Source organism: Homo sapiens, chromosome 1 (assembly GCF_000001405.40).
Source record: "Homo sapiens chromosome 1, GRCh38.p14 Primary Assembly".
Lineage (NCBI taxonomy): Eukaryota > Metazoa > Chordata > Mammalia > Primates > Hominidae > Homo > Homo sapiens.
In genome coordinates this window covers 197,020,904-197,040,464 of record NC_000001.11, presented here as the reverse complement: position 1 = coordinate 197,040,464, position 19,561 = coordinate 197,020,904, and the positions used below count along the sequence as shown (strand labels likewise).

Below are 19,561 nucleotides of genomic sequence, written 5' to 3'. Positions count from 1 at the left end.
ATTTCAGAAATGTTATGTTCTATACCACTCATACTTTATGGCAATTGCAAAGAAAAAATAATAATATTTTCTTCATTTTTTTTACACCAAACAAACAACTGGAAGTGGTAATCAATTCAACAGGCCTTCTGAATTGTCTGAAGTGAAAGCAACGTTTGCCATTTGATATTTGTGACACTTTGGCAAATGGAAAAATAAACCAATTTATACGTGCAATATTTCAATGTGCAAAAATTAACCTATATGTTCTGTGATAAGGACAAAAATCACACTTTCTCCTACTTCTCAATATAAGTTCAAGCACTACTAATAAAGGTTGGAAAATGTGGTATTTATTTTCAGGACCACATTTTTGTGTAACTTTTGGAAATTACATACTAAAGTGTTTCCTCATATGACAGTTTAAAAAATATATCCTCTGCTACTTACAGGAAATAATTTAACAATTTTCTTAGAGAAATGTTAAAAAAGTATAATAAAATGATGTAAACCATTTTGTAGGATCACAATTTTAACCCTTTTTGAAGACACTATATATAAAAAATGGAAATTATATTTTTTGTTCAACTAAGAATATTAAAAATATAAGTAGTGGCAAAGTGCATGTGGTCCTGTTTTAAAAAATGCAAACAATGAACTGTATGAACTACATAAAGTCAGTTTTTTAGATGCTTTGACCACTCTAGTAAAAAAATATTTAAAAGACACACAATAGTGGGAAAAATTTTTATTTTTATTTCTAATTGTGGTAGCATCAGGGTGGAAAAAATTTTATATGCTATTTAAATGTTTTGGTACAGTATGAATTTCTCACTTTTAAGAGAAAAAGGTAAACACGTAGAAAATATTTAAAAAATCATGAGTAGTGTAGTAAATAATATTGCATTTTTAAAAGGGAACTGGTGGTATTATTTACTAAGTAAGATCATTTATTCTTATTAGTACTTAATAAAAACAATGACTCATTATATGAAAAATTGAAAGGCTGAGATTGTAATTAACACCTGACTGCAATTGATGCTTATTTCAAAAATCTCTCTTTTTCCCCTCAAGCACTCTGTCTTATCAAGAACCCTTAAGAACATAGAAATGAATGGCAGAAAGAGGAGTCATATTTCAATACATCATGAAATTCCTTATAAAATATAATTTTGAGGAAATAAGTTAAAAACTTCGGAGTTTTTCCTTGCTTAAATATTTGAATCTAAATTATTTGTGCTGAACATTTCGTTATTTATAAATGAAAACCAATAAATGTCTAATTTTTAGTTTGTATGATTTGATGTAGAACTTAATCTCTTTTGTATGTCTTCCATCTGTTACAAATTAATCTACACATCATATTTTCATTTCCTAATGCCCATTGACTAGACTATATAGTTGTTTTCAATATACTGTATGTGCAAAAATTTCACATTCACATTCGTCATCATCTTTATTAATATTAAGGCTTTTGTTACCCTTAATTCAAAGTTTATGTCACTATTAAAGGGCCAAACACACTAGAGATAAGAAACTATATGCTGTATTAGAGGATCTGCCTTATTAAAGGCAGAAGAGACTGCCCTTCAGACTTTCTAAATGTAAAAAACTTTTAAAATTAACTGTAATATTTGCTACAACGTTAATAACCAAATTGTTTATGAGGTGGTGTACTACCATATTTGAACATGTGCTCAAATATTGTTAAAGAGACACAATTAAAGAAAGAATGACCCTTGGAATTTTATTTAATTTTATTTATTTATTTATTTATTTATTTAGAGACAGAGTCTTGCTCTGTCGCCCAGGCTAGAGTGCAATGGCATGATCTTGGCTCACTGCAATTTTTGCCTCCCGTGTTCAAGCAATTCTCCTTCCTCAGCCTTCCAAGTAGCTGGGATTACAGGCGTGTACCACCACGCCCGCTACGGTTTTTTTTTTTTTTTTGTATTTTTAGTAGAGACAAGGTTTCACCATGTTGACCAGGCTGGCCTCGAACTCCTGACCTCATGTGATCCACCCGCCTTGGCCTCCCAGGACTCTTGGCATTTTTACATTTTACACTTTCAAGTCTTTTTTTATATCAAATAATTTTTGGAATTATGCAGACTACAAAATCTGAAATAAGAGAGTTCTACAAGCATCAAAAAATGAGTGTCAGTATTATCAAGGTCTGTTAGAGACATGAAACAGCAACACTGTCACTTTTTCATTTGAAGTGAGAGTTATACTTCTAATTATTTCAGCTCATTCATAAGCATATGTAATAGCACTAGTACCCAGATACTAGGACCCCGATTAGGATTGGTTGTTGGTATTAGAACGAGTTTTCCTTTCTAGAAACTACTCAGTTTTTCTAACTCAAGATCTTAGTTTCTCATTACGATGATATTCTCAAATGCCCAATGTACAATTCTCTACTGCTGGGTATGAAATAGCTTCTTTTGGAAATGATGCCACAGCTGACCTAACTCTGTGGATTAAATAAGTATTAATTCATTCAATGTTAAACATGTATATTTCAGAACTGTCCTTGAGTTCATATTCATTATTTTAATTAATCTCCTGTAGTAGGTTCCCACAGTGGATCTCATAAAAATGGAAATTTAATTAAAATTAAATATCAACAGAAAAGCATTAATCTTTTTAAATAAATTTCCCAATCTATCAATTAAATAACATTATTGAGCACCTGCTATATCCCAGGGAACATGCTGGGTAGTACAGGATTCAAAATGATTAAAATTCACCTCGTTATTTCAAAGAACTCACAAAGTAAAAAACTACTTACTTAGTAAAAGAGATAAACTTGTACTAGTGATTGCAGACTCAAAATGGGTGATGATTGTGGCTTATCTAGTGATATTTCTAGTGAACTGGAGATGGCATGCACTGTTTAACCTGGACAACTACTTCGCTCAAGGTGAATAATTGTCATGGGGGAATATTGTATCCAGTATTGCCATATGTTCTGATTTGTTAATTGTGAAATGCACTGATTTTTATATGTTGCGAGGAGATAAAAAATTATTTAGGCAGTGCAGCTCAAAGTAAACTCCACATGCTAAAGAAATAAAAATTTTGAAAAGTGCAACAGTGGAAGCATGTACGAAGTAAAGTGGTGGCACAAAGTAGGTAGTATTTAACCTTTTTTTTTTTTTGTATGAATGTGGTATAGGAAGCTTCTTGGAAAAAAGTTAAAGTAAATCTGAGGTTTACAAAACTAGAAAACACACTTCAAGTAGAAGGAATGGCATTTGCAAAGTCAAAGCTCATACTCTATGCTAGGCATTACACCGAGCACTGAAAATAAAACAATGAATAAGACACAGACTGTTTCTGCTCTTGTGGAGCTTGTCTCTCGGAGCGGAAGAAAGATATAAGCAAATCCTTACAAAATAAGGCATGGCAGCAAAGACACCATCTTTGTCAGTAAACACCAGATGATACTGCCTAGTACTGGGTGTTTAAAAAGTCTTCAGTGAGGAAGTGATATATAAGTGACATATAGGCTGAGATTGGATGGGAGAAATGATAAGAATTCATGTAGAGAAAGAACATGAAATACAGCAAAGAACATGACATTTCCAAGAAGCTAATAAAAACCCAGTATGGATTGAGTGGAAAGGAGTGAAGGACAGAGAGGAGTATGCGAAACTTGGAGAGGTTGGAGCCCTGATTGTGAAGGCCTTTGTAGGTCAAATTAAAGATTTTGGAAGTCACTAAATAGAATGCGATGCTTACTGGGAATTTTTAAAAGACATCACTGACTGTAATATGGAGAGACTGATCTGAAGGGCAAAAAGTGTGGGCAAAGAGAAATCACTGAGGAAAACGAGGCAGTCATCTGGCAAAGATAAGGTAGTCACTTACACCGGTGGCAGCAGCAGGATGGTACAAAATAGGCTGAAATAAGATATTTAGGATGTGACATCATTATAATGATAATTGATTAGATGTGGGGGACAGTGAGGCAGAGAAAAGAGTTCAGGAGGACTCCTAGGTTTTGGCTTGACTAAGTGGCTATCTAAATATGATAGGAAGAATGGCAAGGAGAAGCAATGGGAGGGAGTGGGGATTAGCATGAAGAGTTTTATTAATAATTTTGGAAATGTGCTTTTGAGGTATCTGTGAGATAGGAAAGTGAAAAGACTAAGTAAGCACTTGATTTTTTTTTTTTTTTTTTTTTTTTTGTAGTCAGAGTCTCGCTCTGTCACCCAGACAGAGCTGGAGTGCAGTGGCACCGTCTCAGCTCACTGTAACCTTCTCTTCCCAGGTTCAAGTGATTCTTGAGGAAGCACTTGATTCTTATGGTTGATGCTTTGATGAACCACCTAGATTTCCTTCAGAAACACAAAGACTTACTTTTCCAGCTACTGGGAGCTCTCACTTATCAGTTCCCTAAAAGGGGTTGCCTCAGCTTAAGGGAGCCTCTTTCCCTAAGGTCATAGCTTCTTCCCAGGTTGGCCTACACTAATGATTGATCAACAGGACTTATAAAGAAAAGGCTCCTCACCCAAACTCAGGACAGTTCTAAAGAGTAATTTCAGCTTCTGAGTTCCTCATAGTATTGACTGGGGCCTCTGGTTGAAATGACATTGCAACTCAACTTCTCCCTTTTGACTTCCTTCGTTTCCCTTCCCCAGGTGTGAAGCCCAAGAATACTCCCTGAAAGTCCTCTTGTCTGCTAATTTCCATCTCAAGGCTGACTTCCCTGGGTAGCTCAATCTGTAACAGTTACATAAGCCTGGGTATCAGAACAGAGCACTAGGCATAATTTGGAGTCATAAGTCAGTAGGTGTTTAATAAAACTAAGGTAATAGACGAGTTTTTCAGGGTGAAGATAGATGTAGGCCTACTTCAGGGCTTTGAGGCACCAAAGTTTAGTGTTTGGGAATAGGACAAGATACAACAAAGGAAACTGATAAGAAATGGCCAAACTATTTGAATGAAAAGCAGAAGAGATGGGGACTAAAAATGCTGTTTGGTTATTATTGATTACCTTGAAAGAAAGAGCATCCAGTAGGAAATTGAGACGAGAGTAGGATGAGGAATAAATGTAAGGTACAAAAAATCAGAAATATGAATGTAGTGAGCTTGCCAATATGTGTGACAGTGAATGGAGGGATAGAAATAAAGGAGGTCTGCCGGGCGCTGTGGCTCAAGCCTATAATCCCAGCACTTTGGGAGGCTGAGGCAGGTGGGTCATCTGAGGTCAGGAGTTCAAGACCAGCCTGACCAATATGGTGAAACCCTGTCTCTACTAAAAATACAAAAATTGGGCGTGGTAGTATGAGCCTGTAATCCCAGTTACTCAGGAAGCTGAGACAGAAGAATTGCTTGAGCTTAGGAGGCAGAGGTTGCAGTGAGCCGAGATTGAGTCACTGCATTCCAGCCTGGGCGACAGAGCAAGATTCCATCTCAAAAAAAAAAAAAAAAAAAAAAAGAAAGAAAAAAGAAATACATAAAGAAGATTTTTGTTTTAATAAAATGGGAGAAATTTGAACAGTTTGAGCATGTTTACATTACATTAGAATGAAGAACCAGGTGGAAGATGTTGAGAAAATATTGCATAACAGATTGTAGAAGATTCTTGAAAAAATAAGAAGAGATGGGACCAGTGCCATAAGTAAAGGGATGGCCCTTGGCTAGGAAAAGTGAATTTGTGGCAGGAATAAGCACATTCATGTCATGTGTTTTTTATTTCCCCTGTGGAGGGCTATCGTGGGAGACAAGTTGAAGGACTGAGGAGAGGGGAGAAAGTTTGAAAAAGTCATGTAGAAAGTGAGATGATGGCAGAAGTAAAAGATAGCTTGATGAAAAGGCACAATCTAGCCAGGTGATTTGGCAAATTGTAATAGCTTCATTGAATTATCACTTCAATTAGATTTGTGAGATGTTGAAAATAATGTTACAATAATTACCATTTTGCTTTTTAAATAGTTTTATTTTGTGAGATAAATTTTATTCTGATGAATATGAAAGCAAACTTTGCTTAGAAGATGTGCCATCCTTGTAGCATAGGACACTAAGTCAAAGATCAAAGAATCACTAACATGGTGATTGCCCCAGGGTATTCCAAAGCTTAGAAGGATGCTACCTGGTTCTGCCCAGAGAAACTTTAATTTCTCAAAGAGAAGTTAAGAATTTATTGATATCTGTCTTTTTCTTCAAGAAAAAGAAAGATCAAAATGCTAGAGAACATTACACATTAAACCCAAATTCAGGGAAACCGAGCCTGATTCCTTTGAGAAAAAATGGAGGCAATGGGAAGCGTAAAAAGTCTAACCAAAACTGAGAAGCAGTTTGCCTAATACACTTCTCAAATTTAAATGAAAGACTAGTTTTTAGACAATATGCAAGGTTTCAATTTGACAGGCATTTTGTCATTATGTACTTTAGAAACAATTTATGAGAAAATACAAATTCAGTTAATGTGTATACTTAGCATCAAGTAAATTACTCTATGACAAGATATTTTTAAAATTACAATTTTAAAGTAATTTATTATTTTCCTAAAATAAAGGAGCAGCTCTTTGACATTGTAAGACAATCCAAACAATACAAATGTAAATAACATTAGTGATATAATTTCCCTTATTCTCTCAAATACCTCAGATCTACTTCCTTGGTCCTGAGATTAGCACTGTAAAGAGTTTGCTCTGTTTCTTCCCAGATGTAAATATACACACTTAAATATGTATTTATATACACATTGGTTTTTATATATAAGTGGGCTATATATTATGTATCATAGTGTATATATTGTTGTAGGACTTATATTTTCACCCAAAATAAAATAAGCAATTGTAATGTTAACATATACAGGTTGACTTTATAATAACTGAATAGCATTTTATAAGCTGGGGGTAACATAATTTATTTAATTATTCTTTCACTGATGGACTTTTCAATGGTTTTATCTTCCTTATATTCTTTCTTTTACTTTTCTTTTTTCTGTCCTTCCTTCCCTTCATTTCTTCCTTCATAGGTTATAGGTGGGAGTCAAATAATAAAATTTAAAGCTGAAATAGAATAGTAGAATTCTAAACATATTTAAAAGAACCAATATAAACACCAAGAAAGATCTTAACATTGAATAAACTTAGATGATGGAGGAGTTGGAAAGAAGGAGACGAAAGAAAGAAGTTGTAAGCCAATTTTATTTTATTTTTTATGATAACAAATAGACATTGCCCAAAACCTGTGGAAGTAGGATATTATTTTAAAATAATAGCATAAATAAACTACCTAAAAATACCCTTCTTCCTAAATAGCAAAATAAATGTAAAAACTACTGCAACAGCAGCAATAGCAGCAATATAATGAGCAACGAAAGCAGACCATATAGTGAAAAGTTTTAAAAAGCTGTATCTGCACACACTATAGATATTTAAAAAACCTATAAAATTCTTATAAAGAACTTAAATCTTCTATTAGAAGAGAAAAACATTTTCTTATTTGGTTCCAAAGCAAAACCCAGCTCAATGTTGTGTGCAAAAGGCACAACTAAAACTAACTTCTTCAAAATAGTTAAAAAGAAAAGAAGGGGTAGAAAAAAGTACATGGAGTAAAGATCAAAGGACAGAATCAGCAAAGTGAGAAAGCCACCCACAAAAGCGGAGAAAATATTTAAAAATCATATATTTCATAAGTGATTTTTATCCAGAATATATAAAAAACTCTCATAACTCAAAATAAGAAGGCAAATAACAGAATATAAAAATTAGTGAGGGGCCAGGCACGGTGGCTCACGCCTGCAGTCCCAGCACTTTGGGAGGCCAAGGCACTTGGATCACCTGAGGTCAGGAGTTTGAGACCAGCCTGACCAACGTGGCAAAACCTCGTCACTACTAAAAATACAAAAATTAGCTGGGCATGGTGGCACATGCCTGTAATACCAGCTACTTGGGAGGCTGAGGCAGTGGAATGGCTTGAACCTGGGAGGTGGAGGTTGCAGTGACCTGAGATCGTGTCATTGCACTCCAGCTTGGGAAACAAGAGCGAAACTCCATCTCAAAAACAAACAAACAAACAAACAGTGAAGAATATAAATAGGTATTTCTTCAGTCAAGATAAATAAATGGCCAACAAACACATGAAAAGATGCCCAACACTAATCATTAGGGAAATGTATATCAAAACCACAGTAAGACATCAACTTGAGGTCATCATGTTAAATTATATAAGCCAGTTACAATAAGAAAATATTACTATATTATATAGTATTGCATTAAAAGTATTATTTTACTCATATGAGATAGCTAGCATTGACAAATTTATAGGGACAGAAAGTAGAATGGTGGTTGCCAAGAATTGGAAGGAGAGGGAAATGCTAAGTTGTTTAATGGGTTCGGAGCTTTAGTCTTACAAGAGGAAAAGAATTTTGGAGATGGATGCTGGTTACAGTTGTACAACAGCGCGAATGTAGTTAATGCCACTAAACTATACACTTAAAAATGGTTAGGATGGTAAATTTTAATTAAGTGTACTGTACCATAAGTGTACTTTTTAAAAAAAGTACATTATTTAAAAGTACAACCAATTTAAACAACAGAAAATATCAAGGATACTGGGCTTGACAAAGTGAAAATCCTGCCATAAACAATAAATTAATCAAAGAAGGACCTTTTATAAAACCTTAATTGCAAAAGGAGACACAATTCAGTTATAAGTATCCATAATAAATTAATGTAATGGTAAATTTCATAAAGCAGAAACTTTATAAGACAGGAAATAGGAAGAAAATTTAATAAAATTTATTATCTAAAAGATTTCAAGTGAACAAAATATTAGTCAAAGATATAGAAGATTCTAACAATCAATACTTTATACCTTATGGATCTATATCAACACTGTTCCCTAATAATAAAGAATACACTTATTTTTAGGCACACATAAAACAGTCATAAATACTTGCCATATATGTTAGGTCATAAAGAAAATCTAATTAAATTCCAAATAAATTAATATAGGTCACATTCTCTGATCATAGTGCAACACATTTAAAACTTAAGCAAAATAGAAAGGCTATTTTCCCTGGAAATGTACAAACTTTCTATTAAGCAACTCTGGGGTCAAAAAATAAATATAAACTAAAATGACAGAATTTCTAGAAAACAATAAAGAAAACATCACATATCAGAATTTATAGGATATTAACTAAAGCAGTAATCAGAGTAAAATATTAGCTTCAAATATATCAATCAATATAAAAATGAGAATAAATAATTCTAAACAAATAAATCTGTAAACTAGAGAAAGAACAACAAAGAAAGCCAAAGAGAAAAAGGAAGAAATTAATACAACTAAATATAAACCTTAATGAACTAGGAAATACAAAAGTAGTATATAAAAGTCTGAATTTTTAAAAACGATACAATAGAAAGATACAGATGAAACAAATATAAATAACAAGAAATAATACGGAGTAAATAACTTCTCAACTAACTGAAAATTGTCTTCTATACTTATTATTCATTTTTTTTAATCTGAAATGCATATATGTTTGGGAACATGTATTGGGAACACATGTATGTTTCAGCCTTTATTTTACTAGGTGCCTCTGTGGCAGTGAATATTCACTATTCCCTCCTTCTTGGAAAACTGCTTTTTCTTGGCTTCTATCATTCCACTTTCTCCTGGTTATGCTTCTACGTTTCTGATTACTATTCTTGACCTTGTACGTAGTCTTTTTACTCCTACTTCTGCCCATTAAATAAAGTTTGCACTACTTAGGGTTTCATCATCTGCTTTTTGCCCTTCTCAATCCACATCTTTTCCCAAAACTCTTCTCACAGGTTCAGACTCATATGTAACTTCATGAAAGTGAAGTAATAAAAATTGAATTTATGTTACCACTCCCCCGCATCCCCCGCCTCTCTCCCTCTCTGTCTTGGTTTCTTTCTCTCTCTGTCTCTCTCTCTCTCTTCCTCCTCTTGCTATGGATATAATCATTCATCTAATCATGAAGGTTATAAACCTGGCTTTTGTCCTGATTCCTTTATCCACTTGGTTCCTATACCACTTTTATTCAATCACTAAATCCAGCTAATTTTACCTCTGAAATAATTCTTGAATTTACAGTTTCTTTCATTTTTGCTATCATGACTGTGGTTCAGGTTCTCATAGTCTTACTCTTGGACTAATGAAATTAGCCTACTCCAAATTTATCTATCTGCCTCTAGTCTTGCTTCTTCTCTGAATCATATTTCACATGACTTTCAGAATTATCTACTAAATGCAAACTTTCTTCATCTCTATTCTATCTAAAACCCTACAAAATCTCTGCATTCTCTTTAGGACAAGCCTACTTTTTATTCTAGCATGCAGGTCCTCTGTAAATTGTCTCTTTTCTATCACATTGCTCTTATTACAGTGTGCTCTTTATCCTCAACAATATAAGCTTACTTAATATTTCTCTTCATACAAAATGTGCTTTTTCATCTCTGCATATTGGTAGTTTGATTTCTTCTGCCAAGAATGTTATACTCATCCCCAACAACTCTCACTCAGCTACTGAGAGTCAGATCACAGTCATCTCTTTCAGGAAACCATTCCTGACTCTCCTTCCTCCAGATTGGATGATATGCTCATCAACCCTCCTTGAACACATTTACATTGTGTCATTTCTCATTATATATATTATATATGCAGTTGTGTATAACATGCATGCATATATATTATATATGCATATATTAATTACTATTCAATTAATAATGCCTTTTAATTGTGTATTTAATAATGCATATTAATTAATAATGCATATATTAATATATATTTGTACTATGTATATATAAAACACACACATATATATATAGTTGTTTGAACAAAATCTTTTTTTTTGTTTTTAACTTGGGTTTTTCAAAAACGTTATTGTGGTAAGAAAACTTATATGAGATCCACCCTATAAAAAATTTTAAGTGCACAATATAGTATTTTTGACTATAGGTACAATGTTGTACAGCAGATCTCTAGAGCTTATTAATCCAGTTTATCTCAAACTTTATGCCTATTGACTAGTAACTCCTCATTTTCCCCTCTTCCTCCCCCAGTAACCACCATTCTACTTTTTGATTCTGTGATTTTGACTATATTAGTTACCTCATGTAAGTGTAATCATGCAGTATTTGTCTTTCTGTGTCTCACAGTGTATTGAAAAGTTCTGCTTATGACTATCTCCACAAGCACCTTAGTGCCTTGAAAGAGGAAAGCGTGTTTTACATTTTCATCCTCTAATGCTGATGCAGTCCGTTGCATATGCTAGCTACATTGTTTCCTGAGTAAAACTGAAAATCATCACAATCGCTTAAAATTTCTATTTAAAAGTATTTCTATTTAAAACTTTTAATGTAATTATAACACTAATTATATAGTCACTAAACATTTTCTCTATTAACTAGATACCTAACATTTTCCTTTCTCTGTTGCCTCCTTACTCTGCCTTTTGCATTTCTTTTTTTTTGACAAAGTCTTGCTCTGTCACTCAGACTGGAGTGCAGTGGTGCCATCGCAACTCACAGCAGCCTCAATCTCCTGAGCTTAACTAATACTCCCACTTCAGCCTCCCTAGTAGCTGGAACCACACGTGTGTGCCACCACACCTGGTTAATTTTTGTGTTTTTTGTAAAGATGGGGTTTTGCCCTGTTGCCCAAGCTGGTCTTGAATTCCTGAGCTCAAGCAATCTGTCTGCCTTAGCCTCCCAAAGTGCTGGGATTACAAGCATAAGCTACCATGTGGGCCAGTTTTTCTTTTTTATTTACCCATATTTAAGGAAAGAAAACAAGGAATATATACATAATAATTCTTTACAATACTGATATTAAGCATTACTCCCAATAGCCAAGATATAGAAACAACCTAAGTGTCTGTCCATAAATGAAGAAAGAAAATGTGGCCAGTCTGGTGGCCCACACCTGTAATCCCAGCACTTTGGGAGTCCGAGGGAGGAGGGTTGCGTGAAGCCAGGAGTTCGAGGCTAGCTTGGGCAACATCGTGAGACCTCATCTCTACAAAAAATAAAAAAATTAGCTGGGCATGGTGGTGCTCATCTGTAGTCCCAGCTACTCAGGAGGCTGAGGAGGGAGGATTGATTGAGCCTGGGAGTTCAAGGCTGCAGTGAGCTAAGATCATACGACTACACTGCAACAGAGTGAAACCGAGTCTCCAAAAAAAAAAAAATAAATAAAATAAAAGAGAAAGAAAAATGTAACATATACATACAATTAAATATTATTCAGCCTTAAAAAAGAAGGAAATCCCGTTGGTTGCAACATGATGATTTGAAGATTCTAGAGGATATTAATATTATGTTAAGTGAAATAAACAGAAAAAAAGTGAAAAAAAAACAGAAAGAAAAATACTGTATGATGTCACTTATATGTGGAATTTTGAAAACATGAACTCATAGAAACCAAGAGTTGAAGAGTAGTTACCAGGAGTCAGAAGTGGGAGAAAAGGGAAGCTGTTGGTCAAACTGTATAAACTTACAGTTATAAGATGACTAAATTCAGAGACCTTTTGTACAGCATGATGACTACAGTTAATAATAATATATTGCATACCTGATATTTACCAAGAGAGTAGATCCTAAATATTCTCACCACAAACGAAAGGTAAGTATGTGAGGTAACAGGTATATTAGTTAGCTTGATTGTGGTAGTCATTTCACCATGTGCACATAGATCAAAACATCACGTTGTACATCTTGAATATATTTAATTTTATTTGTCAGTTATGTATCAATAAAGCTGAAGAAAAGAGTAGTACTTGATTGCATGTACTGAACAATCAGGCCTGTTAATAATTTAATATTGTTTGTGCTAGTAGTTGTGGTTACCTCAATATATATTGTGCACAGTAAACTTGTAGCACCAGAGTTGTCAGAGTAAACATCAGCACCTCGAGAGGATAAAAAAAATTGATTTCTGTCTGGACACAGTGACTCATGCCTGTAATCCCAACACTTTGGGAGGCCGAGATGGGCGGATCACTTGAGGAGTTTCAGACCAGCCCGGCCAACATGGTAAAACCCTACCTCTAATAAAAATACAAAAAATTAGCCAGGCGCGGTGGTGTGTGCCTATAATTCCAGCTACTCAGGAGACTGAGGCACAAGAATCACTTGAACCCAGGAGGTGGAAGTTGCAGTGAGCAGAGATGGTGTCACTGTACTTTAGCCTGGGTGACAGAGGGAGACTCCTTCTCAAAAAAAAAAAAAAAGAAAAGAAAAGAAAGAAAGAAAAAGAAAAAGAAAAAAGAAAAAAGAAAAAAAAATGTATTTCCTTTTTGGAAAATGAACACTGCCACCTTATGTGAGGGTATATACTAAATCACTCTTTGCTTCAATAAAAATAAGCAAATATTGCTGAGATAAGAGCTTTATTTAACATTTGATCAAAACCTTTTATTAGAAGTGTTTCTGTACTCCAGACTTACTTCTTTATAAATTCTCCCTTTTGTGATTGAATGTATATACTCTTAATTTTCCTAAAAATTCATGATATTTCAAAGAATGAAATCTAAATATTTTCCCACTTTTCCATATATTATTAGAAGTAATTTTGTTCAAAGTGCTGTTGAAATCCACATGTGACCCATGACATGCTGAGATACAACCATCTGCAAACTTTATAAAAAGAAAAGGAGTTCAAAATAATTTGTCAAACATCTATTTAGACAATTTTCCCTCCACTACTTTATACTTCTGTTTAACCTATATTTATTATTAATCTATCATTAGCTTTTGTCTGCATAAAAATGTACATTTGAAAGATGAGCCTTTAAGTTTTATTAATATAATTTTAGTGTTACTATGAGTAGTACTTGTTTTATTACATATTCGGAGCTCTATTTTAGTAAGAAAAATTAACAGATTTCTAAATCACAATTTAAACTTTTAACTACATTCATTTTTAAACATACATTTGCTTATATTTCTGGTTATATTATTTTAGTTATAGAAACAAAAAAAAAAGCCCAAATAGCCAAAGCAATGCTGAGAAAAAAAAAAACAAAACAGAAAACAAACAAACAAAAAACAAAACAAAAGGCATCACATTACCTGACTCCAAACCACACTATAAGGCTACATTAATCAAAACTGCATGTCACTGGTACAAAGACAGACATATACACCAATGGAACAGAAGGATCCCAGAAATGAAGCTGAAGCTGTACACCTACAAACCATTTGATCTTTGAAAAAGTTCACAAAAATAAACAATGGGGGAAAGGATGCCCTATTTAATAAATGGTGCTGAGATACCTGGCTAGCTATGCAGAAGAATGAAACTAGACCCCTAATCTTACCCTATATACAAAAATTAACTCAAGATGGAGTAAAGATTTAAATGTAAGACCTCAAACTATAAAAACCTTAGAAGAAAACCTAGGAAATACTATTTTGGACATCAACCTTGGCAAATAATTTATGACTAAGTCCTCAAAAGCAATTGCAACAATACCAAAAATGGACAAGTGGGGCCTAGTTAAACTGAAAAGCTTCCTTCACAGCAAAACAGCAACAACAGCAAACACATCAACAGGGTAAACAGACAACCTACAGAATGGAAGAAACTATTCACAAGCTATGCATGTGCCAAAGTTTTAACATCAGAATCTGTAAGAAACTTAATTCAACAAACAAAGTAACCCCATTATAAAATGGGCAAAGGACATGAACAGATACTTCTCAAAAGAATATACACAATCAGTCATAAACATGAAAAAACTCCCAACATTACTAATCATCAGAGAAATGCAAATCAAAATCACAATGAGATGCCATCTCACATGAGTAAGAATGCTTATTATTAAAAAGTAAAAAAATAACAGATGCTGGTGAGTCTGTGGAGAAAAGGGAACACTTATATCCTGTTGGTGGGAGTGTAAATTACTTTAGCCACTGTGGAAAGCAGTTTGGCAATTTCTCAAAGAACTTAAAATAGGACTACCATTCGACCCAGCAATCTCATTACTGGATATATACTTGAAGAGCTATAAATCATCCTACCATAAAGACAAATGCATGCATATGTTCATCAAAGCATTATTCACAATAGCAAAGATATGGAATCAATGTAGGTGCCCATCCATGGTGGATTGGATAAAGAAAATGTGGTACATACACACCATGGAATATTATGCAGCCACAAAAAGAAAAAAAACTGTGTCCTTTGCAGCAACATGGATGCAGCTAGAGGCCATTATCCTAAGTGAATTAACACAGGAACAGAAAACCAAATACTATATATTCTTACTTATAAGTGGGAGCTAAATATCGAGTACTTACGGACACACAGAGAGCAACAATAAATACTGCAGATTACTAGGGAGGGGAGAAAGGGAAGAGGGAAAGGGCTGAAAAACTACCTATTGGGTTCTATGTTCACTACCTGGGTGACGGAATCATTCATATGGCAAACTTCAGCATCACACAATACGCCCATGTAACAAATCTGCACATGTACCCCCTAAACCTAAAATAAAAGTTGAAATTAAAAAAAAAGAAATCATGAAAGTCCCTACTCTGTCAGATTCTTAGTTTTCAATGTACACAAACACACCAAATGAAAGTAGAGTCTGGGGTATTAAGATACAGTAATGGGCGTGCTCAGTTAATATCCCCAGGACAGTTACGTGACATGTTCAGTACTTTTGCCAAGGGGGTAGAGCCTTAATCACAACAAAGTGGTGGGGTACTAAGCAGACAAAAACAAGATAGAGTAGGATTGTTTAGCAGTGCTGAGTCATGAATTTTTAGAGATACTAATCTTTTTTTTTTTTTTGCCTTTCTTTACAACACTTGGCTGCTTATGTACATAAATGGAGAAGATGGATGTGTAAGTTTATTCAGCCATGAGTATTTGCTAGACTGTGCAATCAAAAGGAAAGTGGGGCAAGAGATTTAAGGTTGCTTGCAAAAGAATTATTTGGAATGTGAGCTATTTAATTTGAAGAGAGACATGAAGAAAGAGTAAATACTGGAGACTACTAAAGGATGTGAGAAAGTAGTAGGGGCATTAAGTTAAAAGTATCAATGTGTTAAAACAGTATTTCCATGGAAGTGTGAGTAAGCTAGTCAGAAGAAATAAATATGGTAATTAATGAGCAGAATATATGAATTTGTGACTTTGGAAATTGAGGAGTTTCAGATGATGGGAAAGACTGTACTTTGGCAATAGGAACATAAAGTCGAGAAAAGTGGCAACAGAGATGAGGCAATAAAGGATTGAGAAGCAAATTTGTTGAGTGGTACAACAAAGCAGATATTAATGCTAACAGAGATGAAAGGATTTGGAGTGAGGAAGAAAACTGAGCCAGGAGGTACTAGTAATTAGTGATTGAGGGGGAAAGTTCAGAACATTTACCGATGACACCAGTATTAGCCTTTTTTCACACTGCTATAAAGAGCTACTGGAGACTGAGTAATTTATAAAGGAAAAAGATTTAATTGATTCACAATTCTGCATGGGTGGGGAGGCCTCAGAACTTACAATCATGGCAGAAGGTAAAGGGGAAGCAAGGGCCTTTTCATATAGCAGCAGGGGAGAGAGAGAGAGAGAGAGAGAGAGACAGCAAGGAAGTACCACACTATAAAACCATTAGCTCTCATGAGAACTCACTCACTATCATGAGAACAGCATGTGGGAAACCACCCCCATGGTCCAATCACCTCTCACCAGGTCCCTCTCTTGACATGTAGGGATTACAATTTCAGATGAGATTTGGGTGGGGACACAGAATCAAACGATATCATTCCACCCCTGGTCTCTTCCAAATCTCATGTCCTTTTCACATTTCAGAACCAATCATGCCTTCCCAACAGTCGCCCAAAGTCTTAACACATTCCAGCATTAACTCAAAAGTCCAATTCCAAAGTCTCATCTGACAAAGCAAGTCCCTTCTGACCATGAGCTGTTAAAATCAAACAAGTTAGTTACTTCCAAGATACAATGGGGGTACAGGCACTGGGTAAATGTTCTCATTCCAAATGGAAGAACTTGGCCAAACCAAAGGGGCTGCAGGCCCCATGCAAATCTGAAAACTGGCAGGGCACTTATTAAATCTTAAAGCACCAAAATAAACTCCTTTGATTCCGTGTCTCACATCCAAAACACAATGATGCAAGAGGTGGGCTCCCAAGGCCTTGGGCTGCTCTGCCCCTGTGGCTTTGCAGGGTACAGCCCCCGCAGCTTATTTCACAGGCTGGTGTTGAGTGCCTGCGACTTTTCTGGTGCACAATGCAAGCTGTTGGTGGATATACCATTCTGGGATCTAGAGGGTGGTAACCGTATTCTCACAGCTCCACTAGGCAGTCTCCCAGTGGGGACTCTGTGTGGAAGCTCCAACCCCATGTTTCCCTTCTGCATTGCCCTAGTAGAGATTCTCCATGAGGGCTCTGCTCCTGCAGCAGACTTCTGGCTGGTCATCAAGGCATTTCCATACATCCTCTGAAATTTAGGCAGAGGCTCTCAAAGCTCAACTCTTATCTTCTGCACACCTGCAGCCCCAACACTTGGAAGCCACCAAGGCTTGGGGCTTGCATCCTCTGAAGAAACAGCCCAAGATGTACCTCGATCCGTTTTAGCCACTGCTGGAGCTGGAGTGACTGGGACACAAGGGGCCATGTCCCAAGGCTGCACAGAGTAGCAGGGCCCTGGGCCCAGCCCACAAAACCATTTTTCCCTCCTGGGCTTCCAGGCTTGTGATGGGAGGGGCTGCCGTGAAGATCTCCGAAATGCTCAGGAGACATTTTCTCCCTTGTCTTGATTATTAACATTTGGCTGTTTGTTATGCAAATTTCTGCAGCAGGCTTGAATTTCTCCCCAGAAAATGGATTTTTCTTTCCTATTGCATGGTCAGGCTGCAAATTTTCCAAATTTTATGGTCTGCTTCCCTTTTAAACATAAGTCCCAATTTCAAATAATCTCTTTGTGAACACATACGACTGTGTGCTTTCAGAAAAAGCCAGGTTATATCTTGAATACTTTGCTGCTTAGAAATTTCTTCCACCAGATACCCTAAGTCATCTCTCTCAAGTTTGAAGTTCCACAGATCTCTAGGGCAGGGGCAAAATGCTGCCAGTTTCTTTGCTAAAGCATAGCAAGAGTGACCTTTTTTCCAATTCCCAGTAAGTTCCTCATCTACATCTGAGACCACCTTCATTGTCCATATCACTATCAGCATTTTGGTCAAAACCATTCAACCAGTCCCCAGGAAGTTCCAAATTTTCCACACCTTTCTTTCTTCTTCTGAGCCCTCCCAACTATTCCAGCCTCTGCCCTTTACCCAGTTCCAGTCTTTTCCACATTTTTAGGTATCTCTATCGCAGTGCCCCACTCCCAGCACCAATTTTCTGTATTAGTTTGTTTTTACACAGCTATAAAGAACTACTGGAGACTGGGTAATTTATAAAGGAGAGAAGTTTAATTGACTCACAGTTCTGCATGGCTAAGGAGGCCTCAGGAAATGTACAATCATCGCAGAAGGTGAAGAGGAAGCAAGGACTTTTTTCACATGGTGGCAGGAGGGAGAGAGAGAGAGAGGGAGAGAGAGAGAGGAAATGCAACACTTTAAAACCATCAGCTCTCAAGAGAACTCACTCAGTATCACAAGAACAGCATGGGTTAAACTGCCCCCATGATGCAATCAACTCCCACCAGGTCCCTCCTTTGACATGCGGGGTTTACAATTCAAGATGAGATTTGGATGGGGACACGGAGGCAAACCATAACAGCAGCAAACATTCTGGCAAGTGGTAACGTTGAAAAGAATGAGTTTTCAAGAAGGGGATTTTAAAGGAAGGAAAGAAACAGAATAATAATTTGAGAGAAAATACGAAGATCAGTAAGGACATTGATTCCATGTCCCAAGAAGAGTGGGTGCATGTTAACAGACAATCTCAGTTTGAGAGGAATATAGAGAAAGCAGTGTCCACAAAGGAGAGAGCAAAGTTTGCCTTATGTGAAGGAGCTTGTAATTTCTTGAGAAGAGGATGAAGACATAAGAAAGTTTGTTGCTCAATGACCATGGGTTCCAGAGATTTTGAGACAGAAGGAAGAATCTCATAGAGAAATAAGATTAAGCATTATTGCTGGGCGCAGTAGCTCATGCCTGTAATCCCAGCACTTTGGGAGGCTGAGGTGGGCAGGTCACTTGATCCCAGGAGTTTGAGACCAGCCTGGGCAACACAGTGAGACCCCATCTCTACAAAAAGTGCAAAAATTAGCTGGGTATGGTGGCTTGTGGCTGTAGTCCTAGCTACTTGGGAGGAGGAGGTGAGAGGATCACCTGAACGTGGGAGGTTGAGGCTGAAGTGAGCCATGATCACACCACTGCTCTCCAGTCTGGGTAACAGATTGAGACCTTGCCACAAAGTAATAATAATAGTAATAGTAAATAAAATAAAGCATTATTGGATGAGAGCTTGGAAATGTATGATCTAGTAGATCTTGGACTTCCTTTAGTGACTGAAATCACCAGGGAAATGTTACACAAATGATGTTGGTCCAATAATGTCAAGTGTTAGAGTGGAATCTTGGGTCTGGCAATGTAGCCCTCTAGGCTCAGGGGTGG

The 19,561-nt window shown here is 35.9% G+C and overlaps 1 protein-coding gene across 5 annotated transcripts in view; it reads left to right on the top strand.

The window, feature by feature from the left end:
• Window positions 1-1,724, top strand: part of F13B (coagulation factor XIII B chain) — a 28,520-nt gene extending 26,796 nt beyond the window's left edge. For 3 of the 5 annotated variants that reach the window (XM_011509284.3, XM_011509283.3, XM_011509286.3), the window contains exon 12: window positions 88-1,724. In XM_011509284.3, the coding sequence (XP_011507586.1) occupies window positions 88-166 (79 nt within the window). In that variant the 3' untranslated portion in view covers window positions 167-1,724. The remainder of the gene's footprint in view (window positions 1-87) is intronic. The other 2 variants (XM_047449422.1, NM_001994.3) reach the window with 1 other exon arrangement.